The sequence below is a fragment of the Homo sapiens genome, chromosome 2, assembly GCF_000001405.40.
Source record: "Homo sapiens chromosome 2, GRCh38.p14 Primary Assembly".
NCBI lineage: Eukaryota > Metazoa > Chordata > Mammalia > Primates > Hominidae > Homo > Homo sapiens.
This window is the reverse complement of record NC_000002.12, coordinates 151,308,049-151,331,454: the sequence shown is the minus strand read 5'-3', so window position 1 is coordinate 151,331,454 and position 23,406 is coordinate 151,308,049. Positions and strand designations below refer to the sequence as shown.

The 23,406-nt window shown below is 41.2% G+C and overlaps 1 annotated feature.

The window, feature by feature from the left end:
• Positions 12,365-12,414: an enhancer, noted in NCBI's record as "active region_16635". NCBI's record gives its function as "activates an Ori minimal core promoter by ATAC-STARR-seq in GM12878 lymphoblastoid cells {active_cell/tissue: GM12878}" and the evidence as "EXISTENCE:reporter gene assay evidence [ECO:0000049][PMID:35858748]".

The following is a 23,406-nucleotide window of genomic DNA, read 5'->3' as shown; positions in this document are numbered from 1 at the left end:
GGGCAAAACCCATAGACTGTATACACTAAAGAGGTGTACAGACAGCAAATGAAAAGATATTCAACATCATTAGCCATTAGAGAAATGCAAAATTAAAATCATGATGAGATATCACTATCAGAAGGGCTAAAATTAAAAACAATGACAATAACAAATGCAGATGAGAATGCGGATAAACTGAATCACTCATATACTGCTGGAGGGAGTATCAAATGGTTAGTCAATTCTAAAAAAACAGTTTGGCAGTTTCCTAAACTAAAGAGGCAAAAGACAGTTCTTAGAATGGGAGAAAAAACTTACAAACCATGTATCTGATAAGGGTCTAGTATCCAGAATATAAAGGACTCATAATAAAAATTGAAAAATTGGCACAGGATCTGAATAGACATTTCTACAAAGAAGATATTCAGATGGTCAATGAGTGTGTGAAAAGATACTCAACACCATTGGTCATCAGGGAAATGCAAATCAAAAGTAGTTCATGCCCACTAGGATTGATAGAATAAAAAATCAGATAATAACAAGTGCTGGTGAGAATATGGAGAAGTTGGAAACTTCATCCACTGGTGATGAGAATGTCAAATGGTGAAGTCACTCTGAAAAACAGTCTGGCAAGGATCCTTGTGGTGAAGTGTTACCATTGAGGAAACTGGGTAAAGGGCACATAGGAACTCAGAACAATTTCTTTCAATTGCATGTGAATCTATAATTATTTCAAAATTTAAAAGTTTAATTAAAGAACAAAAAACAACAGGCACAAAGAGGCTTAGGAATTTCGTTTAATACCTAACAGAAAAATCAATAATTAAAAAATTATGGTAGATATCTTCAAGTCAACTCTATATCAAAAAATGTTCCTTCTTAGAAAGGAAACACCTTTTTAAACAGCCTTGGCTTTTTAAAATTTAATTTTTATACTTATCAGAGTTTAAAAAGTCAGATAGTTCTAGAAGACTGAAAATATGGTAACTTGCTAGACTTCTCAACTGCTGCCTCATAATTTCCACTTTCAAAGTCAAACATTTTACATTATTTCAGAAGTTTCTTCAGGTATTTGGCTCTGTTTTTCTATAATAATATGCTTATAGTGCTATTTCTTATTTTTTCATTTTAGACACCATTCATTTTCAACTATTTTGTGTATCATAAAAGATGAGGATTTAGCTCTCTTATCTCCTGCCTACCATCTCTATACTTTCCTACTCCCATCCTCCCAATATGGTTCTATCAGAAATGTAAAGAATATTAAGTGCTTATATTATCATGACTATGCAAATATTATTCTTAGCCGAGTGTACTATGATTAAATATTAATTCTTGCACAAGTCTTTGTTTTTCTCTGGAAGTGATAATTGCCTTTTCCCTCCTATTTACTTAGTTTTCTATGCACTTGTTCCTAATTCAGCTCCAAACTGTTTACAGAATTATAAAACTGCATTCAATATTTGAACTTGATTGGTTTGCATGAGAATACAATTCTATATTGTTAATCATTTTTCCTTAAAACTGTAAAAGCTTATTCCAACATCCAATTTCATTGAAAAGACTGTTGTCTTTATGGTCTGTAATATTTTGTATGTGACCTATTTTTTTGTCTCTTTCTCTGGAAGCTTTTTGGATCCCTTCCTTCCTTCCTTCCTTCCTTCCTTCCTTCCTTTTCTTTCTTCTTTTTTTTTGAGCCTCCAGTTTAATAGTTTCCAGTTTAATAGTTAATATTCAGCCTCCAGTTTAATAGTTTCTTGTTCCTTTGTTCTTAAATGCTATATATATTCTCTTATCCTTGTTAGAATATTAATTATAAGTTTTAAAAACATATTCATCCGTTCCTTGCGTTATTGTGCACCCACATATTTGTTTATCTCCCTCTTCCAAGCAAGAAGCTTTTATCAAATGTTGGATGATCCTTGACAACTGGAAGCTCTGTATGTATGAGGTCTGACAAGTAGGGAGTTTATAGCAGAGTGATTGTTCAGGTATCTGTTTTTTTTTTTTTTCTGGGCAGTAGCTGTTGGCCTTCTTTTCTGGGGCTGGTCACTCTCTCCAGAAAGGAATCCTCCACTTTCATCTCAGGATGGTGGTGATGGAATGATCTGGGTGCTGAGGTTGGTAAGTCTCATTGTTCAGAATGCAGATTTGTACTTGATCTCTGTGTTGCCAGTAAGTTACCTCAATCATGCCTGCATACCTGCTATCCTTGAGTCTAGAGATTTTTCTGGTTTAACCTCCCCTGAAAATAATGTCAAGCCTTCTGCAGAAGAAGGAGGGTCAGTTGCCTGGCTGTGCAGGTTATGAGGAGATGTACTGGTTGAACTGCTTTTATGCAAGACATCAGCCAGTCCTCCCGATTTTAGCCTCATCTGCTTCCCATATTCAGAGACAACTTGTGGCTCTAATTTCTGGGCCTTTGAAGGACTTGGTAGCCCAATCTATGTGCTTCTTGGCATCCCTCATCCTCACCCCTACTGCAATCATTTAGTTTCAGCTTCCGCTAGTCTGCTAAATCAGTTATCATAAGTCTGTTTTGTTGACATCTCTTGGTGGCTATTATTTCTTCTCCCATTCTCTCTGTGCCTATTACTTTTTGAAGTTTTCTTTTTCTCTTTTTTTTTTTTTTTTTTAGGACGAGTCCCGCTCTGTTGCCATACTGGAGTGCAGTGGTGTGATCTCGGCTCACTGCAACCTCCGCCTCCTAGGTTCAAGCGATTCTCCTGCCTCAGCCTCCCAAATAGCTGGGATTACAGGCACCTGCCACCATGCCCGGCTAATTTTTGTTTTTAGTAGAGATGGGTTTTCACATGTTGGCCAGGCTGGTCTCGAGCTCCTGACCTCAGATGATCCACCTGCCTCAGCCTCCCAAAATACTGGGATTCCAGGCATGAGCCACCGCGCCTGGCCTAATTTTTGAACTTTTCTTTCTTTCTTTTTTTTTTTTTTATACAAGGTCTTGCTCTGTTACTCAGGCTGGAGTGCAATGATGTGATCATAGTTTGCATAGTTCACTGCAGCCTTGAACTCCTGGGCTCAAGTGATCCTTCTACCTCTGCCTCCTGAGTAGCTGGAACCATGCCTTGCTAATTAATTAATTAATTAATTTTTTTTTTTTTTTGGTAGAGACAGAGTCTCACAGTGATGCCCAGGTTGGTCTCCAACTCCTGGCCTCAAGTTATCCTCCTGCCTCAGCCTCCCAAAATATTGGGATAACAGGCATGAACCACTGCACCCGGCCTCCATTTTACATTTCTTTACCAACAATTTGGTGAGATTTTGGGTGGCAGTGAGGGTGAACAGGTGTTTTACTTTGCCGTATTTGAATGGCAGTCTAAATTTTTTTTCTTTTTTTAGACAGGGTTTCACTCTGTTGCCTAGACTGGAGTGCAGTGGTGTGATCTATGCTCACTGTAACTTCTGCCTCACGGGATCAAGTGATCCCCCCTCCTAAGCTTCCCTAGTAGCTAGGACTGCAGGCACACGCCACCATGCCTGGCTAATTTTTGTATTATGTTGTAGAGATTGAGTTTTGCCATGTTGCCTAGGCTGGTCTCCAATTCCTGGGCTCAAGTGATCCGCCTACCTCTGCCTCTCAAAGTGCTGAGATTACAGGCTTGAGCCATTGCACCTGATCTGCAAACTTCTTGCATTCTAATATAAACGGTGGTTGCTTCCAAAGGGTAAGTCTTATGGAGTATCCGCGTACTCAGGGAGTAAGAAAATAATGCCAGCACTGTCCACTGTATGTTCTATTCTTCTTTAGTAGGAATTTTCACATGGGCCTAAGACTGCCTGCTTAAGGACCATATCTCTGTATACAAGGCTTGCCAAGTGGTAGATTTCACAGCCAAATCTAGGGGTGTCTATGGGACTAATTTCTTTCTTTTTTTTTTTTTTTTCATTTTACTTTAAGTTCCGGGATACATGTGCAGAATGTGCCGGTTTTTTATATAGGTACTTATTACATAGGTATACATATGCCATGGTGGTTTGCTGCATCTATCAACCTGTCATCTAGGTTTTAAACCCTGCATGCATTAGGTATATGTGACTAATTTCTTGCCAATTCTGTGATCTGGAATATAAAGCAACAAGATAGAAAACAATCTTGAATAGCAACCCTAGAGATAACACTACAGAGCAAGACAGAAAAATCTGGATTCTTGACACTGTGAAACTGCCGCTCCCTTGTGCTTGGAATGCTGTGTAAGAGAGACATTAACTATAACTTCTATTTTGTACAACCCTCTCCTATTGCTTTTTATTTGTTCATGTTGTTTTTCTTCCACCAAGTAAATATTTTAATTAATAAACAATATTTTATGTTGAGGAAGTCAAGAATTATGACATGTGGTAAAGTGATAAAGAGGAAGGATGAAAAAGGAAGAAAGAAAAGAAAAATGGTTAATAATAAATATTTAAGAATTTTAAAATAAAACAAAAACAAAAGAATAAAACATTATTCCTTTAAGATTTAGAGAATAAAAAATTCTCTTCCTGCTTTTGGCATCTTTTCTACAAAGAGCTTCTGTGTACCATGTACTTTGATTTTTTTTTAAATAAGAAAAGGTTGGAGAAAAATAGCATCATGTAATACTTGGTAGTTGACTAATCTTAGGTTTATTTTATTATTAGTGAAAAATGGGATGCCTTTCTTCTATTTCTATATTTTAGTCAGACATTATGTCATGCAAACTGATTCCATTTTTAATAGTTGTTTTCTGGTGATTCAGTGTCTTTCTCATTTATTCCTTCACCGTGTCTAGATTCTTGTGTTGGGAGAAGATGATATTAGGCTGATATGTTTTATTTAACATTGACCAAAAAAGTTCAGAATGTTGATATTACTTTTATTTTTAAGAAATAAAACCAGATTACTCTTTAAATATCTATTTTTATTTTTCTTTATTATTATATTTATGGGCATATAGTTTACATACAATAAAATGCACAAACATTACATGTTCAGTTCAATGAGTTTAGACAAAATAAGACAGAATACTTATAGCACCTAAGAACTTTTCCTCATGCTTCTTCCCAGGCAATATTCTTTGCTATGGTTTGAATATTTGCTCCCTCCAAAACTCATGTAGAAATGTACTTGCCCGGCTGGGTGCGGTGGCTCATGTTTGTAATCCCAGCACTTTGAGAGGCCGAGGTGGGCGGATCACGAGGTCAGGATTTCGAGACTAACCAGGCCAACATAGTGAAACCCAGTCTCTACTAAAAATACAAAAAATTAGCTGGGCATGGTGGCGCATGCCTGTAATCATGGCTACTCAGGAGGCTGAGGCCCAAGAATCACATGAATCCACGAGGTGGAGATTGCAGTGAGCCGAGATGGTGCCACTGTACACCAGCCCAGGTGACAGTGTGAGACTCTGTCTCAAAAAAGAAAAAAGTACCTGCTCTTGTAACAGTATTAAGAAGTGGGACCTTTAAGAGGTGATTAAGACACGAATGGATTGATGCTGTCTTGCACTCTCTCCCTCTCTTGCCCTTTTGCTCTTCCGTCATGTGATGATGCAGCAAGAAGGTCCTTGCCAGATGTTGGCACCTTGATATTGGACTTCTGAGCCCCCAGAACTGTGAGCCAATAAGTTTCTGTTCATTATAAATTACTCAGTCTGCGGTATTCTATTACAACAGTACAAACAAATTAAGACATCTTTCAAACCCTCAGAGTTAAGCAATGTTCCGATTTCTGTTATTGCAGATTAATTTTGCCTGTTTTGGAAATTCATATTTTGCTCAACATAATTGAGTAAAATTTTTTGAGGTTAATCTATGTTGCTGTGGGTATTGGTGGCTTTTTTTTTTTTTTAAAACTGATTCCATTGTATAAAAATATTACACTTTTAAAATCCATTTTCTTGCTGACAGATGCAATAGGTATCCTCTTTCATGGCTTCCAGTGATCCTCACCTCCTGGTATTCATTCACATCCTTGTGTAATCTCCTCCCTATGAGGATGGGTTCAACCTAGCAACTCTTTTCTAATAAATAGAATATGGCAAACGCCATGGCGTGTCACTTCCAAGATTTGGATATAAAACATTTGACTTCCATGTCTCTTCTTCTCTGTGGTTCTTCTGGCCTGCTTGTTGTGATAAAGCAAGCTGTCATGGGGTCCACATGTCAAGGAGCTGAAGACCTCTGGCCAACAGTCAGTGAAGAACTCAGGCCATCAGTCTAACAGTCTGTGAAAAATTGAGTCTTTCCAACAGCCATGTAAGTAGACTTGGAAGTAAATCCTTCTCCAAGCAGAGCCTTGAGATGATCTCCAAATCCAATCAGCACGTTTACTGGAACCTTATGAGAGAAGATACTGCTGCTTTTTTGATGAGATTTTTGACCCGCAGAAACTGAGATAATAAACGTTGTTTCCCTTTACTTTTTGGGTAATTTGTGATGCAGCAGTGGATAGCTATTATAACAGACATTTGGTTGTTTTTAATTTTTTTTTTTTTTTTTTTTTTTTGTGATGGAGTCTCACCCTGTCACCCAGTCTGGAGTGCAGTGGTGCGATCTTGGCTCACTGCAGCCTCCACCTCCCGGGTTCGGGCGATTCTCCTGCCTCAGCCTCCCGAGTAGCTGGGACTACAGGTGCACACCACCACGCCCAGCTAATTTTTGTATTTTTCATAGAGACGGGGTTTCACCATATTGGCCAGGCTGGTCTCGAACTCCTGATCTTGTCATCCACCCGCCTTATCCTCCCAAAGTGCTGGGATTACAGGCATGAGCCACCGCACCCAGCCTGTTTTCAAATTTTGGTCAGTGTCCTATTTCATTATTTATTTTCTATTTGTTCTTTGTTTCTCTGTTTCAGTTTTCTTGCCTTCTTTTGGGTAATATATATTAATTTAAAATATGCCATTCTATCTCATCTATGGACATTTTTAGCTACACCTATTTAGTGTTATTTTTTAGTGGGTATTCTAGAGATTACAATGTTGATCTTTAACTTATCACAAACTACAAATACTGTTTTACTATTAAGTAAATAATGTAAGCCTTATATAACCATATAACTCCATTTACTCTGGTCTTTTGTGTTCTTGTTGCCATATATGCTACTTCTATAATATGTTGTTATTCTTTTGCATTAAACATATTTTACCTATACTTAAATATATTTGAAGCCAAAAGAATAGCAATGTATTGTGGCATATACATATAATTTATAGCAAAAATAATGGCAATGTATTTAAAGTGGCATTTTACGTTTACCTAGATATTCAGTAGGTGCATTTCATCATCAGAGTATTCGGTGTAAGATCTAATAATAAGACCTTATTTTGAAAGAAGAATAAGAGCCTTAGAATTCATCATCTCCAAAGAATAAATGACACCACAATATAGTAGTTACTTGGATTTCAGAGTTTGGAATCCAAGCTCTGCCACTTACTGATTATACAACATGGGGCAATGTACTCACCATCCCTTACTTTTCCTATCCGTGAAATGAAGATAAGAAAATCTACTTTACATCATGGTTTTCAGGAACAAATCAGATAATCATTGTCAAGTCCTTGGTGTATTTTCTGGTATATAGTTATTCATCTTAACCACAGCTACCATCATTGTTACTGCTGCTGTTACTGTTGTGATTATTGTTGCTATTATAATTAGCATTACTACTATTTGTACTAGTAGTGGTGGTGGTGGTGCCTAATTCTCTTCCTACCTGTTCCTTACTTCTTTTCTTTCTTTTTTTTTTGAGTTGGAGTTTTGCTCTTGTTGCCCAGGCTGGAGTGCAATGGCGGGATCTCAGCTCACCACAACCTCTGCCTCCCAGGTTCAAGCGATTCTCTTGCCTCAGCCTCCTGAGCAGCTGGGATTACAGGCATGTGCCCCCACGCCCGGTTAATTTTGTATTTTTAGTAGAGATGGGGTTTTGCCATGTTGGTCAGGCTGGTCTCGAACTCCCGACCTCAGGTATCCACCCACCTCGGCCTCCCAAAGTGCTGGGATTACAGGCATGAGCCACCGCGCCTGGCCCCTGTTTGTTATTTCTTAGTCTTCTTTTAGGGCTCTTCTATCTCTATTTACTCAATAACATTCATATTCTCCGGGATTGTGTTCATGAGTCACTTTTCTTGCCCTTCTACATAGTCTCACTGATTTTTTTTTTTTTTCCTATGAGAATCAGGGAAATGGAGTCTCTAATTTTTTTTTTTTTTTGAGATGGGAGTCTCGCTCTGTCGCCCAGGCTGGAGTGCAGTGGCGTGATCTCGGTTCACTGCAACCTCCGCCTCCTGGGTTCAGGTGATTCTCCTGCCTCAGCCTCTTGAGTAGCTGGGATTACAGACACACACCACCACGCTCAGCTAAGTTTTGTATTTTTAGTAGAGACAGGGTTTCACCATGTTGGTCAGGTTGGTCTCGAACTCCTGACCTCGTGATCTGCCTGCCTCAGCCTCCCAAAGTGCTGGAATTACAGGCGTGAGCCACTGTGCCCGGCCTGGAGTCTCTAATTTTTTAAGTTATTTTGTAGAGTATTAACTGACACTTGTATACAACCTCTTTTGTCAAGTTTTGGACTCATAATCCAAGCCTATTAGACATCTCCACTTGGCTATCCAGCAGATGCCACAAATTCACTATTTGCTAAATAGAACTTATCTTTCTCTTTCCAAGCCTGCTCCTCTGCTCATGTCCATACAGTAGTAAGAGTATCAGTAACATTAGATGTCCACACTAAAAACTGGAAGTAACCTTGGACTTCTTTTTTTTTTCATTTATCCATTAATTAATCATAAACCTGGATATATTGTACTGGAAGATATAACTGTGACAAGATATCAATCCTATGTCCTTAACAGAACTCATAGCCTGACAAGCTCCAATTGATTACTAAGTCCTACTAATTCAACTCCCTAAATATTTCTGGAATTTACCCTTTCTTCTTTGTTTCCTTAGCCCTTACCTTAATTCAGTTGTCATCATCTGATTATTCTGCATTTATTTTCCCCCTGGCTCATTTATTACTCTACAAGAATGATTTTTTTTAAAAAAAATTATTTCCATCAGTTTTTGGGGAACAGGTGGTATTTGGTTACATAAGTAAGTTCTTTAGTGGCGATTTGTGAGATTTTGGTGCACCCATCACCCAAGAAGTATACACTGAACCCAATTTGTAGTCTTTTATCCCTCACCCTGTCCCACCCCTTCCACTTGAGTTCCCAAAGTCCACTGTGTCATTCTTATGCCTTTGCATCCTCATAGTTTAGCTCCCACTTTTGAGGGAGAACGTATGGTATTTGGTTTTCCATTCCTGAGTTACCTCACTTAGAATAATAGTCTCCAATCCCATCCAGGTTGCTGCAAAAGCCATTAATTCATTCCTTTTTATGGCTGAGTAGTATTCTATTATATATATACACCACAGTTTCTTTATCCACTCGTTGATTGATGGGCATACTGGTTGGTTCCATATTTTTGCAATTGCAAATTGTGCTGCCATAAACTTGTGTGTGTAAGTATCTTTTTCATATAATGACTTCTTTTCCTCTGGGTAGATACCCAGTATTGGGATTGCTGGGTCAAATGGTAGTTCTACTTTTAGTTCTTTAAGGAATCTCCACACTGTTTTCCATAATGCTTGCACTAGTTTACATTTCCACCAGCAGTGTGAAAGTGTTCCCTTTTTACCGCATCCATGCCAACATCTATTTTTTTTTATTTTTAAATTATGGCCATTTTTGCAGGAGTAAGGTGGTATCACACTGTGGTTTTGATTTGCATTTCCCTGATCATTAGTGATGTTGAGCATTTTTTCATATGTTTATTGGCCATTGATCTATCTTCTTTTGAGAATTTGTCTATTCATGTCCTTAGCCCACTTTTTGATGGGATTTTTTTTTTTCTTGCTAATTTGTCTGAGTTCTTTGTAGATTCTGGATATTAGTCCTTTGTCGGATGTATCATGATTGTGAAGATTTTCTCTCACACTGTGGGTTGTCTGTTTAGTCTGATGACTGTTCCTTCTGCCATGCAAAAGCTCTTTAGTTTAATTAGGTCCTAGCTATTTATCTTTGTTTTTACTGCATTTGCTTTTGTTTTCTTGGTCACAAAATCCTTGCCTAAGCCAATGTCTAGAAGGGTTTTTCCAATGTTATCTTCTAGAATTTTTTTTTTTTTTTTTTTTTTTTTTTTGAGATGGAGTCTTGCTCTGTTGCCCAGGCTGGAGTGCAGTGGCATGATCTCGGCTCACCACAACCTCTGCCTCCTGGGTTCAAGCGATTCTCCTGCCTCAGCCTCCTGAATAACTGGGACTACAGGCACTTGCCACCATGCCCACCTAATTTTTGTATTTTTAGTAGAGATGGGGTTTCTCCATGTTGGTCAGGCTGGTCTCAAACTTCTGACCTTGTGATCTGCCTGTCTCGGCCTCCCAAAGTGCTGGGATTATAGGCGTGAGCCACCATGCCCGGCCCTAGAATTTTTATAGTTTTAGGTCTTAGATTTAAGTTTTTGATCCATCTTGAGTTGATTTTTGCATAAGGTGAGAGATGAGGATCCAGTTTCTTTCTCCTACATGTGGCTAGCTAGTTATCCCAGCACCATTTGTTGAATGGTGCTTTCCCCACTTTATGTTTTTGTTTGCTTTGTTGAAGATCAGTTGGCTGTAAGTATTTGGGTTTATTTCTGGGTTCTGTATTCTGTTTCATTGGTCTATGTGCCTATTTTTATACCAGTACCATGCTGTTTTGGTGACTATGACCTTATAATATAGTTTGAAGTCAGGTAATATGATGCCTCCAGATTTGTTCTTTTTGCTTAGTCTTGTTTTGGCTATGCAGGTGCTTTTTTGTTTTCATATGAATTTTAGGATCGTTTTTCTGGTTCTGTGAAGAATGATGGTGGTATTTTGATGGGAATTGCATTGAATTTGTATGTAGATTGCTTTTGGCAGTGTGGTTATTTTCAGAATATTGATTCTACCCATCCATGAGCGTGGGATGTGTTTCTATTTGTTTGTGTTGTCTATGATTTCTTTCAGCAGTGTTTTGTAGTTTTCCCTGCAGAGTTCTTTCACCTTTTTGGTTAGGTATATTCCTAAGTATTTTAATTTTTTGTAACTGTTTTAAAAAGAATTGAGTTCTTTATTTGATTCTCAGCTTGGTTTCTGTTGGTGTATAAGAGAGCTACTGATTTGTATATTAATTTTGTATCCTGAAACTTTGCTGAATTCTTTTATCAGTTCTTGGAGCTTTTTGGAGGAGTCTTTAGAGTTTTCTAGGTATACAATCATATCATCAGCCAACAGTGACAGTTTGAGTTTCTCTTTATGGATTTGGATGCCTTTTATTTCTTTCTCTTGTCTGATTGCTCTGGCTAGGATTTCCAGTACTATGTTAAAGGGGAGTGGTGAGAGTGGGCATCCTTGTCTCATTCCAGTTCTCAGAGGGAAGGCTTTCAACTTTTCTCCATTTAGTATTATGTTGGCGGTGGTTTTGTCATAGATAGCTTTTATTACATTGAGGTATGCCCCTTGTATGCCCAATTTTGCTGAGAGTTTTAATCATAAAGTGATGCTGGATTTTATCAAATACTTTTTCTGCATCTATTGAGATGATCATGTTATTTTTGTTTTAAATTCTGTTTATGTGTTGTATCATATTTATTGACTTGTGTATGTCAAACCATCCCTGCATCCTTGGTATGAAACCCACTTGATCATGGTGGATTATCTTTTTGATATGTTGTTGGATTCGGTTAGCTAGTATTTTGTTAAGATTTTTGTATCTATGTTCATCAGGAATATTGGTTTGTAATTTTCTTTTTTGGTTATATCGTTTCCTGGTTTTGGTATTAGGGTGAGACTGGCTTCATAGAATGATTTAGAGAGGATTCCCTCTTTCTCTGTCTTGTGCAATAGTGTCAATAGGGTTGTTACCAGTTCTTCTTTGAATGTCTGGTAGAATTCAGCTATGACTCTATCTGGTCTTGCACTTTTTTTTTGGTATCTTTTTTTATTACCAGTTCAATCTCATTGCTTGTTATTGGTCTGTTCAGGGTATCTAATTCTTCCTGATTTAAATTAGGAGGGTTGTATCTTTCCAGGAATTTATCTATCTCCTCTAGGTTTTCTAGTTTATGCACATAAATGTCTTCATAGTAGCTTTGAATGATCTTTTGTATTTCAGTGGTGTCAGTTGTAATATCTCCCATTTTGTTTCTAATTGAGCTTATTTGGATTTTCTCTCCTCTTTTCTTGGTTAATCTTGTTAATGGTCTACCAATTTTACTTATATTTTCAAAGAACCAGCTTTGTGTTTCATTTATCTTTTGTATTTTGTTGTTGTTGTTTCAGTTTCATTTAGTTCTGCTCTGATCTTGGTTATTTCCTTTCTTCTGCTGGGTTTGGGTTTGGTTTGTTCTTGTTTCTCTAGTTTCTTGAGGTGTGACCTTAGGTAGTCTATTTGTGCTCTTTCAGACTTTTTGATGTAGGCATTTAGGGCTATGAACTTTCCTGTTAGCACTGCCTTTGCTGTTTCCCAGAGGTTTTGATATGTTGTGTCACCACTGTTGTGCAGTTAGAATAATTTTTTAATTTCCTTCTTGATTTCATTGTTGACCCAGTGATCATTCAGGAGCAGGTTATTTAATTTCCATGGATTTGCATGGTTTTGAATGTTCCTTTTGGAGTTGATTTCCAGTTTTATCTCACTGTGGTCTGAGAGAGTACTTGATATAATTTCAATTTACTTAAATTTATTGAGACTTGTTTTATGGCTTATCATATGGTTTATCTTGAAGAAAGTTCCATGTGCTGATGAATAGAATGTATACTTTGCGGTTGTTGGGTAGAATGTTCTGTAAATAGCTGTTAAGTCCATTTGTTTAAGGGTTTAAATCCATTGCTTCTTTGTTGACTTTCTGTCTTGATGACCTGTCTAGTGTTGTCAGTGGAGTATTGAAGTCCCCCACTATTATTGTGTTGCTGTCCATCTCATTTCTTAGATCTAGTAGTAATTGTTTTATAAATTTGGGAGCTCCAGTGTTAGGTGCATATATGTTTAGGATTGTGATATTTTCCTGTTTGACAAGGCGTTTTATCATTATATAATGTCCCTCTTTGTCTTTTAACTGCTGTTGCTTTAAACTTTGTTTTGTCTGATATAAGAATAGCTACTTCTGCTTGCTTTTGGTGTCCATTTGCATGGAATGTCTTTTTCCACTCCTTTACCTTAAGTTTATGTGAATACTTCTGTGTTAGGTGAGTTTCATGAAGGTAGCAGATAGTTGGTTGGTGAATTCTTATCCATTCTGCAATTCTGTATCTTTTAAGTGGAGCATTTAGGCCATTTACATTCAGTGTTAGTATTGAGATGTGAGGTACTATTCCATTCATTGTGCTACTTGTTTCCTGTATGCCTCTTTTTTAATTGTATTTTTGTTTTATAGATCCTATGGGACTTACGCTATAAGAGGTTCTGTTTTGATGTATTTCCAGGATTTGTTTCAAGATTTAGAGCTCCTTTTAGCAGTTTTTGTAGTGCTAGCTTAATAGTGGCGAATTCTCTCAGCGTTTGTTTGTCTGAAAAAGACTATCTTTCCTTAATCTATGAAGCTTAGTTTCACTGGATACAAAATTCTTGGCTGATAATTGTTTTATTTAAGGAGGCTGAAGATAGAGCCCCAGTTCCTTCTAGCTTGTAGGGTTTCTGCTGAGAAATGTGCTGTTCATCTGATAGGTGTTTCTTTATAGGTTACCTGGTGTTTCTGTTTCACAGGTCTTAAGATTCTTTCCTTCGTCTTAACTTTAGATAACCTAATGACAACGTGCCTAGGTGATGATCTTTTTGCAATGAATTTCCCAGATGTTCTTTGACCTTCTTGTATTTGGATGTCTAGGTCTCTAGCAAGGCCAGGGAAGTTTTCCTCAATCCCCCAAATATGTTTTCCAAACTTTTAGATTTCTCTTCTTCCTCGGGAATGCCAATTATTCTTAGGTTTGGTCACTTAACATAATCCCAAATTTCTTGGAGGCTTTGTTCATTTTTTCTTCTTCTTTTTTCTTTGTCTTTGTTGGATTGGGGTAATTTGAAAATCTTATATTTGGGCTCTGAAGTTCTTTCTTCTGCTTGTTCAATTCTATTGCTGAGACTTTCCAGAACATTTTGCATTTCTCTAAGTGCGTCCATTATTTCCTGAAGCTTTTATTATTTTTTATTTATGTTATCTATTTCACTGACGATTTCTCCCCTCATTTCGTGTATGCTTTTTTATATATATTTTTTTTTCGAGACAAAGTTTCACTGTTGTTGCCCAGGCTGGAGTGCAGTGGTGTGATCCTGGCTCACTGCAGTCTCCACCTCCCAGGTTCAAGCAATTCTCCTGCCTCAGCCTCCCAAGTAGCTGGGATAACAGGCACCTGCCCCCCATGGCTGGCTAATTTTTTTGTATTTTTAGTAGAGACAAAGTTTCACCATGTTGGCCAGGCTGGTCCCGAATGTCTGACCTTGGGTGATCCACCCGCCTCGGCCTCCCAAAGTGCTGGCATTACAGGAGTGAGCCACCGTGCCCAGCTTTGTATTGTTTAATTTTTTTATTTTTTTTTGAGACAAAGTCTTGCTCTTGTCCCCCCAGGCTGGAGTGCAATGGGATAATCTTGGCTCACTGCAACCTCTGCCTCCTGGGTTCGAGTGATTCTCCTGCCTCAGCCTCCTGAGTAGCTGGGATTATAGGTGCCTGTCACAGCGCTGGGCTAATTTTTGTATTTTTAGTAGAGACGGGGTTTCACCACCATGTTGGCCAGGCTGGTCTTGAACTCCTGACCTCAGGTGATCCGACCGCCTTGGCTTCCCAAATTGCTGGGATTACAAGTGTGAGCCACCGCACCTGGCCTCATTTTTTAAATTCCCTTAACTTGGACTTCATCTTTCTCTGGTGCCTCCTTGATTAGTTTAATGACTGATTTTCTGAATTCTTTTTTAGGCAAATCATAGATTTCTTCTTGGTTTGGATTCATTGCTGGTGAGCTAGTGTCATTTTTTGGGGCTGTTAAAGAGCCTTGCTTTGTCATATTACCAGAATTGTTTTTCTGGTTCCTTCTCATTTGGATAGTCTATGTCAGAGGAAAGGTCTAGGGCTCAAAGCTGCTGTTCAGATTCTTTTGTCCCATGGGGTGTTCCCTTAATGTAGTACTTGCCCTTTTCCTATGGATATGGCTTCCTGAAAGCTGAGCTGTAATGATTATTATCTCTCTTCTGGATCTAGCTCTTCAGCAGGTCTGCCAGGCTCTGGGCTGGTACTGGGGGTTGTCTGCACAGAGTCCTGTGATGTGAACCGTCTGTGGGTCTCTCAGCCGTGGATACCAGCACCTGTTCTGGTGGAGGTGGCAGGGGAGTGAAATGGACTCTGTGAGGGTCCTTATTTTTGGTTGTTTAATGCTCTATTTTTGTGTTGGTTGGTCTCCTGCCGGGAGGTGGTGCTTTCAAGAGAGCATCAGCTGTGGTATTATAGGGAGGATCAGGTGGTGGGTAGGGGCCTAGAACTCCCAAGAGTATATGCCCTTTGTCTTCAGCTAGCAGGGTACATAGGGAAGGACCATCAGGTCGGGGAAGGGCTAGAAGTGTCTGAGTTCAGACTGTCTTTGGGCAGGTCTTGGCTGCGGCTGCTTTGGGGGATGGGAGTGTGGTTCCCAAGTCAATGGAGTAATGTTCCCAGGAGGATTATGTCTGCCTCTGCTGTGTCATGCCGGTTGTCAGGGAAGTGGGAGAAAGCTGGCAGTCACAGGCCTCACCCAGCTCCCATGCAACCCAAAAGGCTGGTCTCACTCCCACCTTTCCCCCGACTCCCAACAGCACCAAGTCTGTTTCCAGCAGTGGGCGAGCAGGGCTGAGAACTTGCTGCAGGCTACCAGTCTCCCAGCTGCAAAAGCAAGCAGGGCTTTCGTGTCTGCCTGCTTTTGGAGTCTGCACACCAGAATCACTCCCTCCCCGGAGTTCTGGCCAGGAGATTTTGCATTCTGTTGGAATTGTTACACAGTTCAGCTGGAGGTTTCCTTTTCCCTGTGGTCTTTTCCCAGTTCCTCTGGCAGCCCTCCCCAAGGACTCCTGTGAGGCAAGGCAGAAATGGCTTCCCCGGAGACCCAGAGAGCCCACAGGGCTTATCCCGCTGCTTCCTCTACCCCTGTATTTCACTCAGCTCTCTAAATTGACTCAGCTGCAGTTAATGTCAGAATCTCCTCCTGTGATCTAGACCTTCAGGTTCCCCTGTGAGGGTTGTCTCACGCAAGTCTGTGTGAAGAGACCACCAAACAGGCTTTGTGTGAGCAACAAGGCTGTTTATTTCACCGGGGTGCAGGTGGGCTGAGTCCGAAGGAGAGTCAGCAAGGGTGGTGGGATTATCATTAGTTCTTATAGGTTTTGGGATAGGCGGTGGAGTTAAGAGCAATGTTTTGGGAGCAGGGGGTGGATCTCACAAAGTACATTCTCAAGGGTGGGGAGAATTACAAAGAAATTTCTTAAGAGTGGGGGAGATTATAAAGAACATTGATCAGTTAGGGTGGGGCAGAAACAAATCACAATGGTGGAATGTCATCAGTTAAGCTATTTTCACTTCTGTGGAACTTCAGTTGCTTCAGGACATCTGGATGTATATATGCAGGTTACTGGGGATATGATGGCTTAGCTTGGGCTCAGAGGCCTGACATTCCTGTCTTCTTATATTAATAAGAAAAATAAAACAAAATAGTGGTAAAGTGTTAGGGCGGTGAAAATTTTTGGGGGTGGTATGGAGAGATAATGGGTGATGTTTCTCAGGGCTGCTTCGAGCGGGATTGGGGTGGCGTGGGAACTTACAGGGGGAGATATTCAACTGAAGAAGGATTTTGGGGTAAGGAGTGATATTGTGGGGTTGTTAGAAGGAGCATTGTTATTCTCTTATTTGGAAGACACAAGGTCCGAATAAAAGAAGGAGAAAAACAGGTATGAAAGGACTAAGAATTGGGAGTACCCAGGACAACCAATTACAGAGTGTCAAAGGGGGTTCGGCATAATTATTTGCTTGGTTGGCATGTTTTTGGGCTCTATCCTTGAGTTTTTTTATGTTGTCATAGACCAGGCCAGATTGATTTAGGTAAAAACAACCTTCTTCATTTAAAAATATACAGAGTCCCCCCTACCTTTTTTTTTTTTTTTTTTTTTTTTTAGCAGTGAGTAAGTTAGGGCCTCCTCGAATTTGGAGGAAAGAGAAATGCAAAGCCAGCAATTGTTTGTTAAAGAAGGATTAGAAAGGGCTAGGAGAGAGTGACTGAGATTGATAGTGTGGTGGAGATAGCTGGGGAGAGGTAGAGGGTGGCATAAGAATGGGAACGAGAATAAGAGTAAGTATAAAAGTAAAGAATAGGACTTCATCAGGGTGAAAGTATTGGAGGGTACTTTATCACTGAAGATCTTCTATCCACTTCTAGATAGACTTAAGGGTGGCGATTTGAGGTAAAACCAGGAGCCACTAAATACCAAGAGCCTCAGAAACTGAGGTGGGAAGGCCAAACCGAGGAATTATGTCTGACAGAAGGGAGGAAATGACCATGGTGGCCTTCTCAGACCCTGTGAGAAAGGCCTCTACCCACCCAGTGAAAGTGTCTACCCATACCAAGAGGTATTTTAATTTCCTGACTCGAGGCATGTTGAGTAAAGTCAATTTGCCAGTCCTGGGTGGGGGCAAATCCCCAAGCTTGATGTGTAGGGAAGAGAGGGGGCCTGAACAATCCCTGAGTAGTAGAATAGCAGATGGAACACTGAGAAGTGATTTCCTTGAGGATAGATTTCCACGATGGAAAGGAAATGAGAGGTTCTAAGAGGCGGACCAGCGGCTTGTAACCTACATGGAAGAGGTTATGAAATGACAGAATAGAATGGGCCTGTGAGGCTGGAAGGAGATATTTTCCTTGGTACAAGAACCATTTGCTTTGTGTGGGAAGAGATTGATAGGTGGAAGTTTCAGTTGGGGAGTAGGTGGGAGTGACTAGATGAGGAGAAAAACTGCCGTGAGGGATAGAAGTTGGAACGCTAGCTGCTTTTTTAGCTACCTTATGAGCATAAGCATTGTCCTGAGTGATGGGATCTGATGCCTTTTGATGGCCTTTGCAGTGAATAATTCTAGCTGTCTTTGGAAGTAAAGCAGCCTTGAGAAGAGTTTTTATTAAAGAGGCATTAATGATGGAGGACCCTTGTGTAGTGAGGAAAACTTTCAGCTCATAAAGCAGCATGGTGGTGCAGGATATGGGGTCAGCATAAATATTGATGAGTAGTCCCTTTACAAGAGTGAGGACCCGAATTAAGGCAATGAGTTTGACTTGCTGAGAGGTAGTGGAGGGGGGCAGAGCAGTAGCCTCAATGATAGATGTGGAAGATACTATAGCATAGCCTGCCTTTGCTGGTGAGTGGTGATTAGGCTTGATGGAACTGCCATCAATAAGCCAAGTGTGATCAGGGTAACGAACACGAAAGAAGGAAATAAGGAGAAATGGAGTGAATGTCAGGTGGATCAGAGAGATACAGTCATGGGGGTCAGGTGTGGTATCCAGAATAATGTGGAAGGCCAGATTGAAGTCCAGGCCAGGAACAATGGTAATTGTGGGAGACTCAACAAAGAGTGAGTATAGCTGAAGGAATTGGGGAGCAGAAAGTATATGTGTCAGGTGTGAGGAAGAAAATAGATTTTGAAAGTTATGAGAGCTGTAGAGAGTGAGTTGAGCACGGTTTGTGATTTGGAGGGCCTCCAAAAGTATTAAGGCAGTGGCAGCTGCCACACGCAGACATGAGGGCTAGGCTAAAACAGTAAGGTCAAGTTGTTTGGACAGAAAGCCTACAGGGAGCGGTCCTGGCTCTTGTGTAAGAACTCCGACCGCACAGCCCTGCACTTCAGCTGTGTGTAATGAAAACGGAGTGATGAGTTAGGGAGAGCCAGTGTGGGAGCAACTTTTAGGGCTGTTTTTTAAGGAATGGAAAGGGGAGTGGGGAAAGGATTTAGGATCTGTGTGGTCAACTAGGTTTGCTTTTGTGAGTTTATATAATGGTTCAGTCAGGATGGTAAAACTAGGTATCCAAACGCGGAAGTACCTAACCATGCCCAGGAAGGAGAGGAGTTGTTTTGTAGAAGGGGTTGGGGTTTGGGAGATTAGCCGGACACAATCAGCAGGGAGAGCACGTGTGTTTTCATGCAGAATTATGTTGAGATAGGTAATGGATGAGGAAGAAATTTGGGCTTGACTGAAGTAATGGGGGCTGTCCGTGAAGCCTTGCAGCAGTACAGCCCAGGTAATTTGCTGAGCCTGATGGGTGTCAGGGTCAGTCCAAGTGAAAGCAAAAAGAGGCTGGGATGAAGGGTGCAAAGGAATACTAAAGAAAGCATGTTTGAGATCCAGAACAGAATAATGGGTTATGGAGGGGTTGTGGAGGGAGGTATTGAGGATAGGAGAGTATATGGCTTTGGCACCATGGGGTGATAGGCAAGACAATTTGGTTGTTAAGGTGCAGATCCTGTACTAATCTGTAAGGCTTGTCCGGTTTTTGGACAGGTAAAATGGGGGAATTGTAAGGAGAGTTTATAGGCTTTAAAAGGCCATGCTGTAATAGGCAAGTGATAACAGGCTTTAATCCTTTTAAAGTGTGCTGTGGGATGGGATATTGGCATTGAGTGGGGTAAGGGTGATTAGGTTTTAATGGGACGGTAAGGGGTGCATCATCTGTCACCAAGGAGGGAGTAGAGGTATCCTGTACTTGTGGATTAAGGTGGGGAGATATAAGGAGAGGATGTGAAGGAGGCTTTGAATTGGGGCAAAAGATGGCAATTGAGGTGTGGCTGTAGCCCAGGAATAATCAGGGAAGCAGATAATTTGGTTAAAATGTCTCAGCCTAATAAGGGAACTGGGCAGGTGGGGATAACTAAAAGGAGTGTATAAAAGAATATTGTCCAAGTTGGCACCAGAGTTGGGGAGTTTTAAGAGGTTTAGGAGTCTGGCCGTCAATACTTACAACAGTTTTGGAGGCCAGGGAAACAGGCCCTTGAAAATAAGGTAATGTGGAGTGAGTAGCCTCCATGTTGATTAAGAAGGGGACGGACTTACCCTCCACTGTAAGAGTTACCAGAAGCTCGGCATCCACGATGGTCCCGGAGGCTTCTGAGGCAATCAGGCAGCATCAGTCTTCAGCCGCTAAGATGAGAAGATCCGGGAAGGAGTCAGTCAGAGAACCTTGGGCCAGAGTTCCCGGAAGAATGGCTGCCAGGCGAGTTGAACAGTCCAATTTTCTGTGGGGTCCCACACAGATGGGACATGGCTTACGAGGAATTCTGGGCTGCGGGCATTCCTTGGCCCAGTGGCCAGATTTCCAGCACTTGCTTCTGGGGGAGGGGGTTCTGGAGGAACCCCTGGCAGCTGTGGTTCAGGCGTTTGGAGTTCTTGTGTGCTGGAGCTGTGGCTGGGGTTTGTCTCACAGTGGAGGCAAGGAATTGCAACTTAGAAATACATTGCTACTTGGCTGCCTCTACTCTATTATTGTACACCTTGGAGGTGAGGTTAATTAAGTCCCGTTGTGGGGTCTGAGGGCCGGAATTTAATTTTGGGAGCTTTAGTTAATGTCGGGAGCAGATTGGGTAATAAAATAAAATGCATACTGAGAATAAGACGGCCTTCTGACCCCTATGGGTCTAGGGCAGTAAAATGTCTAAGGGTTGTTGCCAAATGGGCCATGGACTGGGCTGGGTTTTTATATTTGATGAAAAAGAGCCTAAATCCTAGCTGATTTGGGAGAGGTCGGATAAAGAGAAAAGGAGCATTAACCTTGACTATGCCTTTAGCTCCAGCCACCTCTCTCAGAGGAAATTGCTGGGCAGGTGGGGGAGGGCTAGTCGCGGAACAAAACTGTAAGCCAGACCGGGTGAGGAGGGGAGGTGATAAAAAGATTGTGGGGTGGGTGCGCAGAGGCTGAGGAAGAATTGGGACCTGGCTTGGCCTGGCGAGGAGCAGCCTGGGGAGAAAGGGAGGTCAGATGAGTCTGTAGAAAAGGAGGATTCAAAGGACTCAGAGCTTGGGGTGGAGACTGAAGGAACAGACAGGAGAGAAAGAAGAAAGATTTGGGACAAGTCTCATTGGGAGCAGAGACTAGGGAGGGACCAATGTGTAAAAGAATGCCTAGACGTCAGGCACCTGAGACCATTTGCCCATTTTACCACAAAAATTATCTAGATCTTGTAGGACAGACAAATCGAAAGTGCCATTCTCTGGCCACTTGGAACTACTATCGAGTTTGTATTGGGGCTAAGCAGTATTGCAGAAGAAAATAAGACACTTAGATTTTAGGTCAGGCGAGAGTTGACGAGGTTTTAAGTTCTTGAGAACACAGGCTAAGGGAGAAGAAGGAGGAGTGGAGGGTGGAAGGTTGCCCATAGTGAAGGAGGCAAGTTCAAAGAGAAAGGTAGAGACACGGACAAGCGGGGTGGGAAGCAGCCCTGGGCTGCAACGTGGGTGAGCAGCCAAAGCAGGCGTCCCTGCAATTGACTTGCCACCAAGGGAACGTGAGTGAATGACCAAGGCAGGTGTCCCCGCGGAGATCAGACACCAATGGAACATGGGTGAATAATCAGGGAGGCATCCCCGCAATGATTAAACACCAAGGGAAGGTTGCCTTCCCGAGTCTGTGACCGGCGCCAGAGTTTTGGGTCTACGGATAAAATGTGTCTCTTTTGTCTCTACCAGAAAATGAAAGGAATTGAAATTAAGAGAAGGGAGAGATTGAAGGGTGGTGCCAAGATTGAAAGGAGAAAGAGGTTGAGGGATAGTGAGAGAGATTGGAGAAGAGAGTAAAAAGAGGCTGCTTACCCGATTTAAAATCAGTGAGCTGTTCCTTGGGCTGGTTGGTCTGAGGACCTGAGGTCGTAGGTGGATCTCTTCACAGAGTAAGGGTGAGGACAGGGGACTGGTCTCCCAAAGGAGTCCCGCTGACCCGGGTCTTCGGCACCAAATGTCTCATGTGTCTGTGTGAAGAGACCACCAAACAGGCTTTGTGTGAGCAACAAGGCTGTTTATTTCACCTGGGTGCAGGTGGGCTGAGTCCGAAAACAGAGTCAGCAAGGGTGGTGGGATTATCATTAGTTCTTATAGGTTTTGGGATAGGTGGTGGAGTTAAGAGCAATGTTTTGGGAGCAGGGGTTGGATCTCACAAAGTACATTCTCAAAGGTGGGGAGAATTACAAAGAAATTTCTTTGTAATTTCTTAAGAAATTACAAAGCGTGGGGCAGAAACAAATCACAATGGTGGAATGTCATCAGTTAAGCTATTTTCACTTCTGTGGAACTTCAGTTGCTTCAGGCCATCTGGATGTATATGTGCAGGTCACTGGGGATATGGTGGCTTAGCTTGGGCTCAGAGGCCTTACAAGGGTGTGTGTTCTGGGGCAGACAATCCCCCTTTCCCAGTTCCACAGCTTGGGCAATCACTGTGTTTGGGGTGTCTCCCAGGTCCTGCAGGAGCAATCCTCTTCCTTCAGAGGGTCTGTGGGTTTTCTTGGCTTTCCTGATTTATTCCTGCAGTAGTTCTGGAGCAAAAGTTCATGATGAGAGTGTCCACACACTGCTCTGTCTGTCCAAGTGGGAGCTGCAAACTGTCCTGCCTCCCATCTGCCATGATGTTCTCAAGTCTCTCTTGTCCCTTCTCTCTAAAATGCATTGGTGAATTCATTCTTAAAAATACAGGTAAAGCCTCACATTCCCTGTGAGAACACCTCCAACCATCTTTTGCACATCTCTAGCATATCACTTAGCATATCACGTTAGAAAGTTTTATTTGATATATTTCTCTCCTTTGAGTATAGGAAACCTCAGTTTCATGAGGATAGCAATTAGCTGCATTTATTTTGTTTGTTTGTTTTTGTTTTTGAGACAGAGTCTCACTTTGTCACCTAGGCTGGAGTGCAGTGGCGTGATCTCGGCTCACTTCAACCTGCACCTCCTGGGTTCAAGCAATTCTCCTGCCTCAGCCTCCCGAGTAGCTGGAACTACAGGTGTGTGCCACCACACCCAGCTAATTTTTGTATTTTTAGTAGAGACAAGGTTTCACCATGTTGCCCAGGCTGGTCTCGAACTCCTGACCTCAGGTGATCCACCCACCTTGGCCTCCCAAAGTGCTGGGATTATAGATGTAAGCCACAGCACCTGGCCTGTTTATTTTTAAAAATAGTACCAAGCATATAATAAAAACTCAATGAGTTAGTGAATGAATGAATGTAGTGAATACAAGATTCAGTCACTTAACTATGGAGTGACAACCATCTTCTTTTACTCATTTAACACATTTATTTGGCAATTATTTGTTTCATGTCTACTTTATGCCAGGCATCAATCCAGTACAGCCAATGAGCAAGACACACAAAGTTACTGCTTTCATGGAGCTTACATTC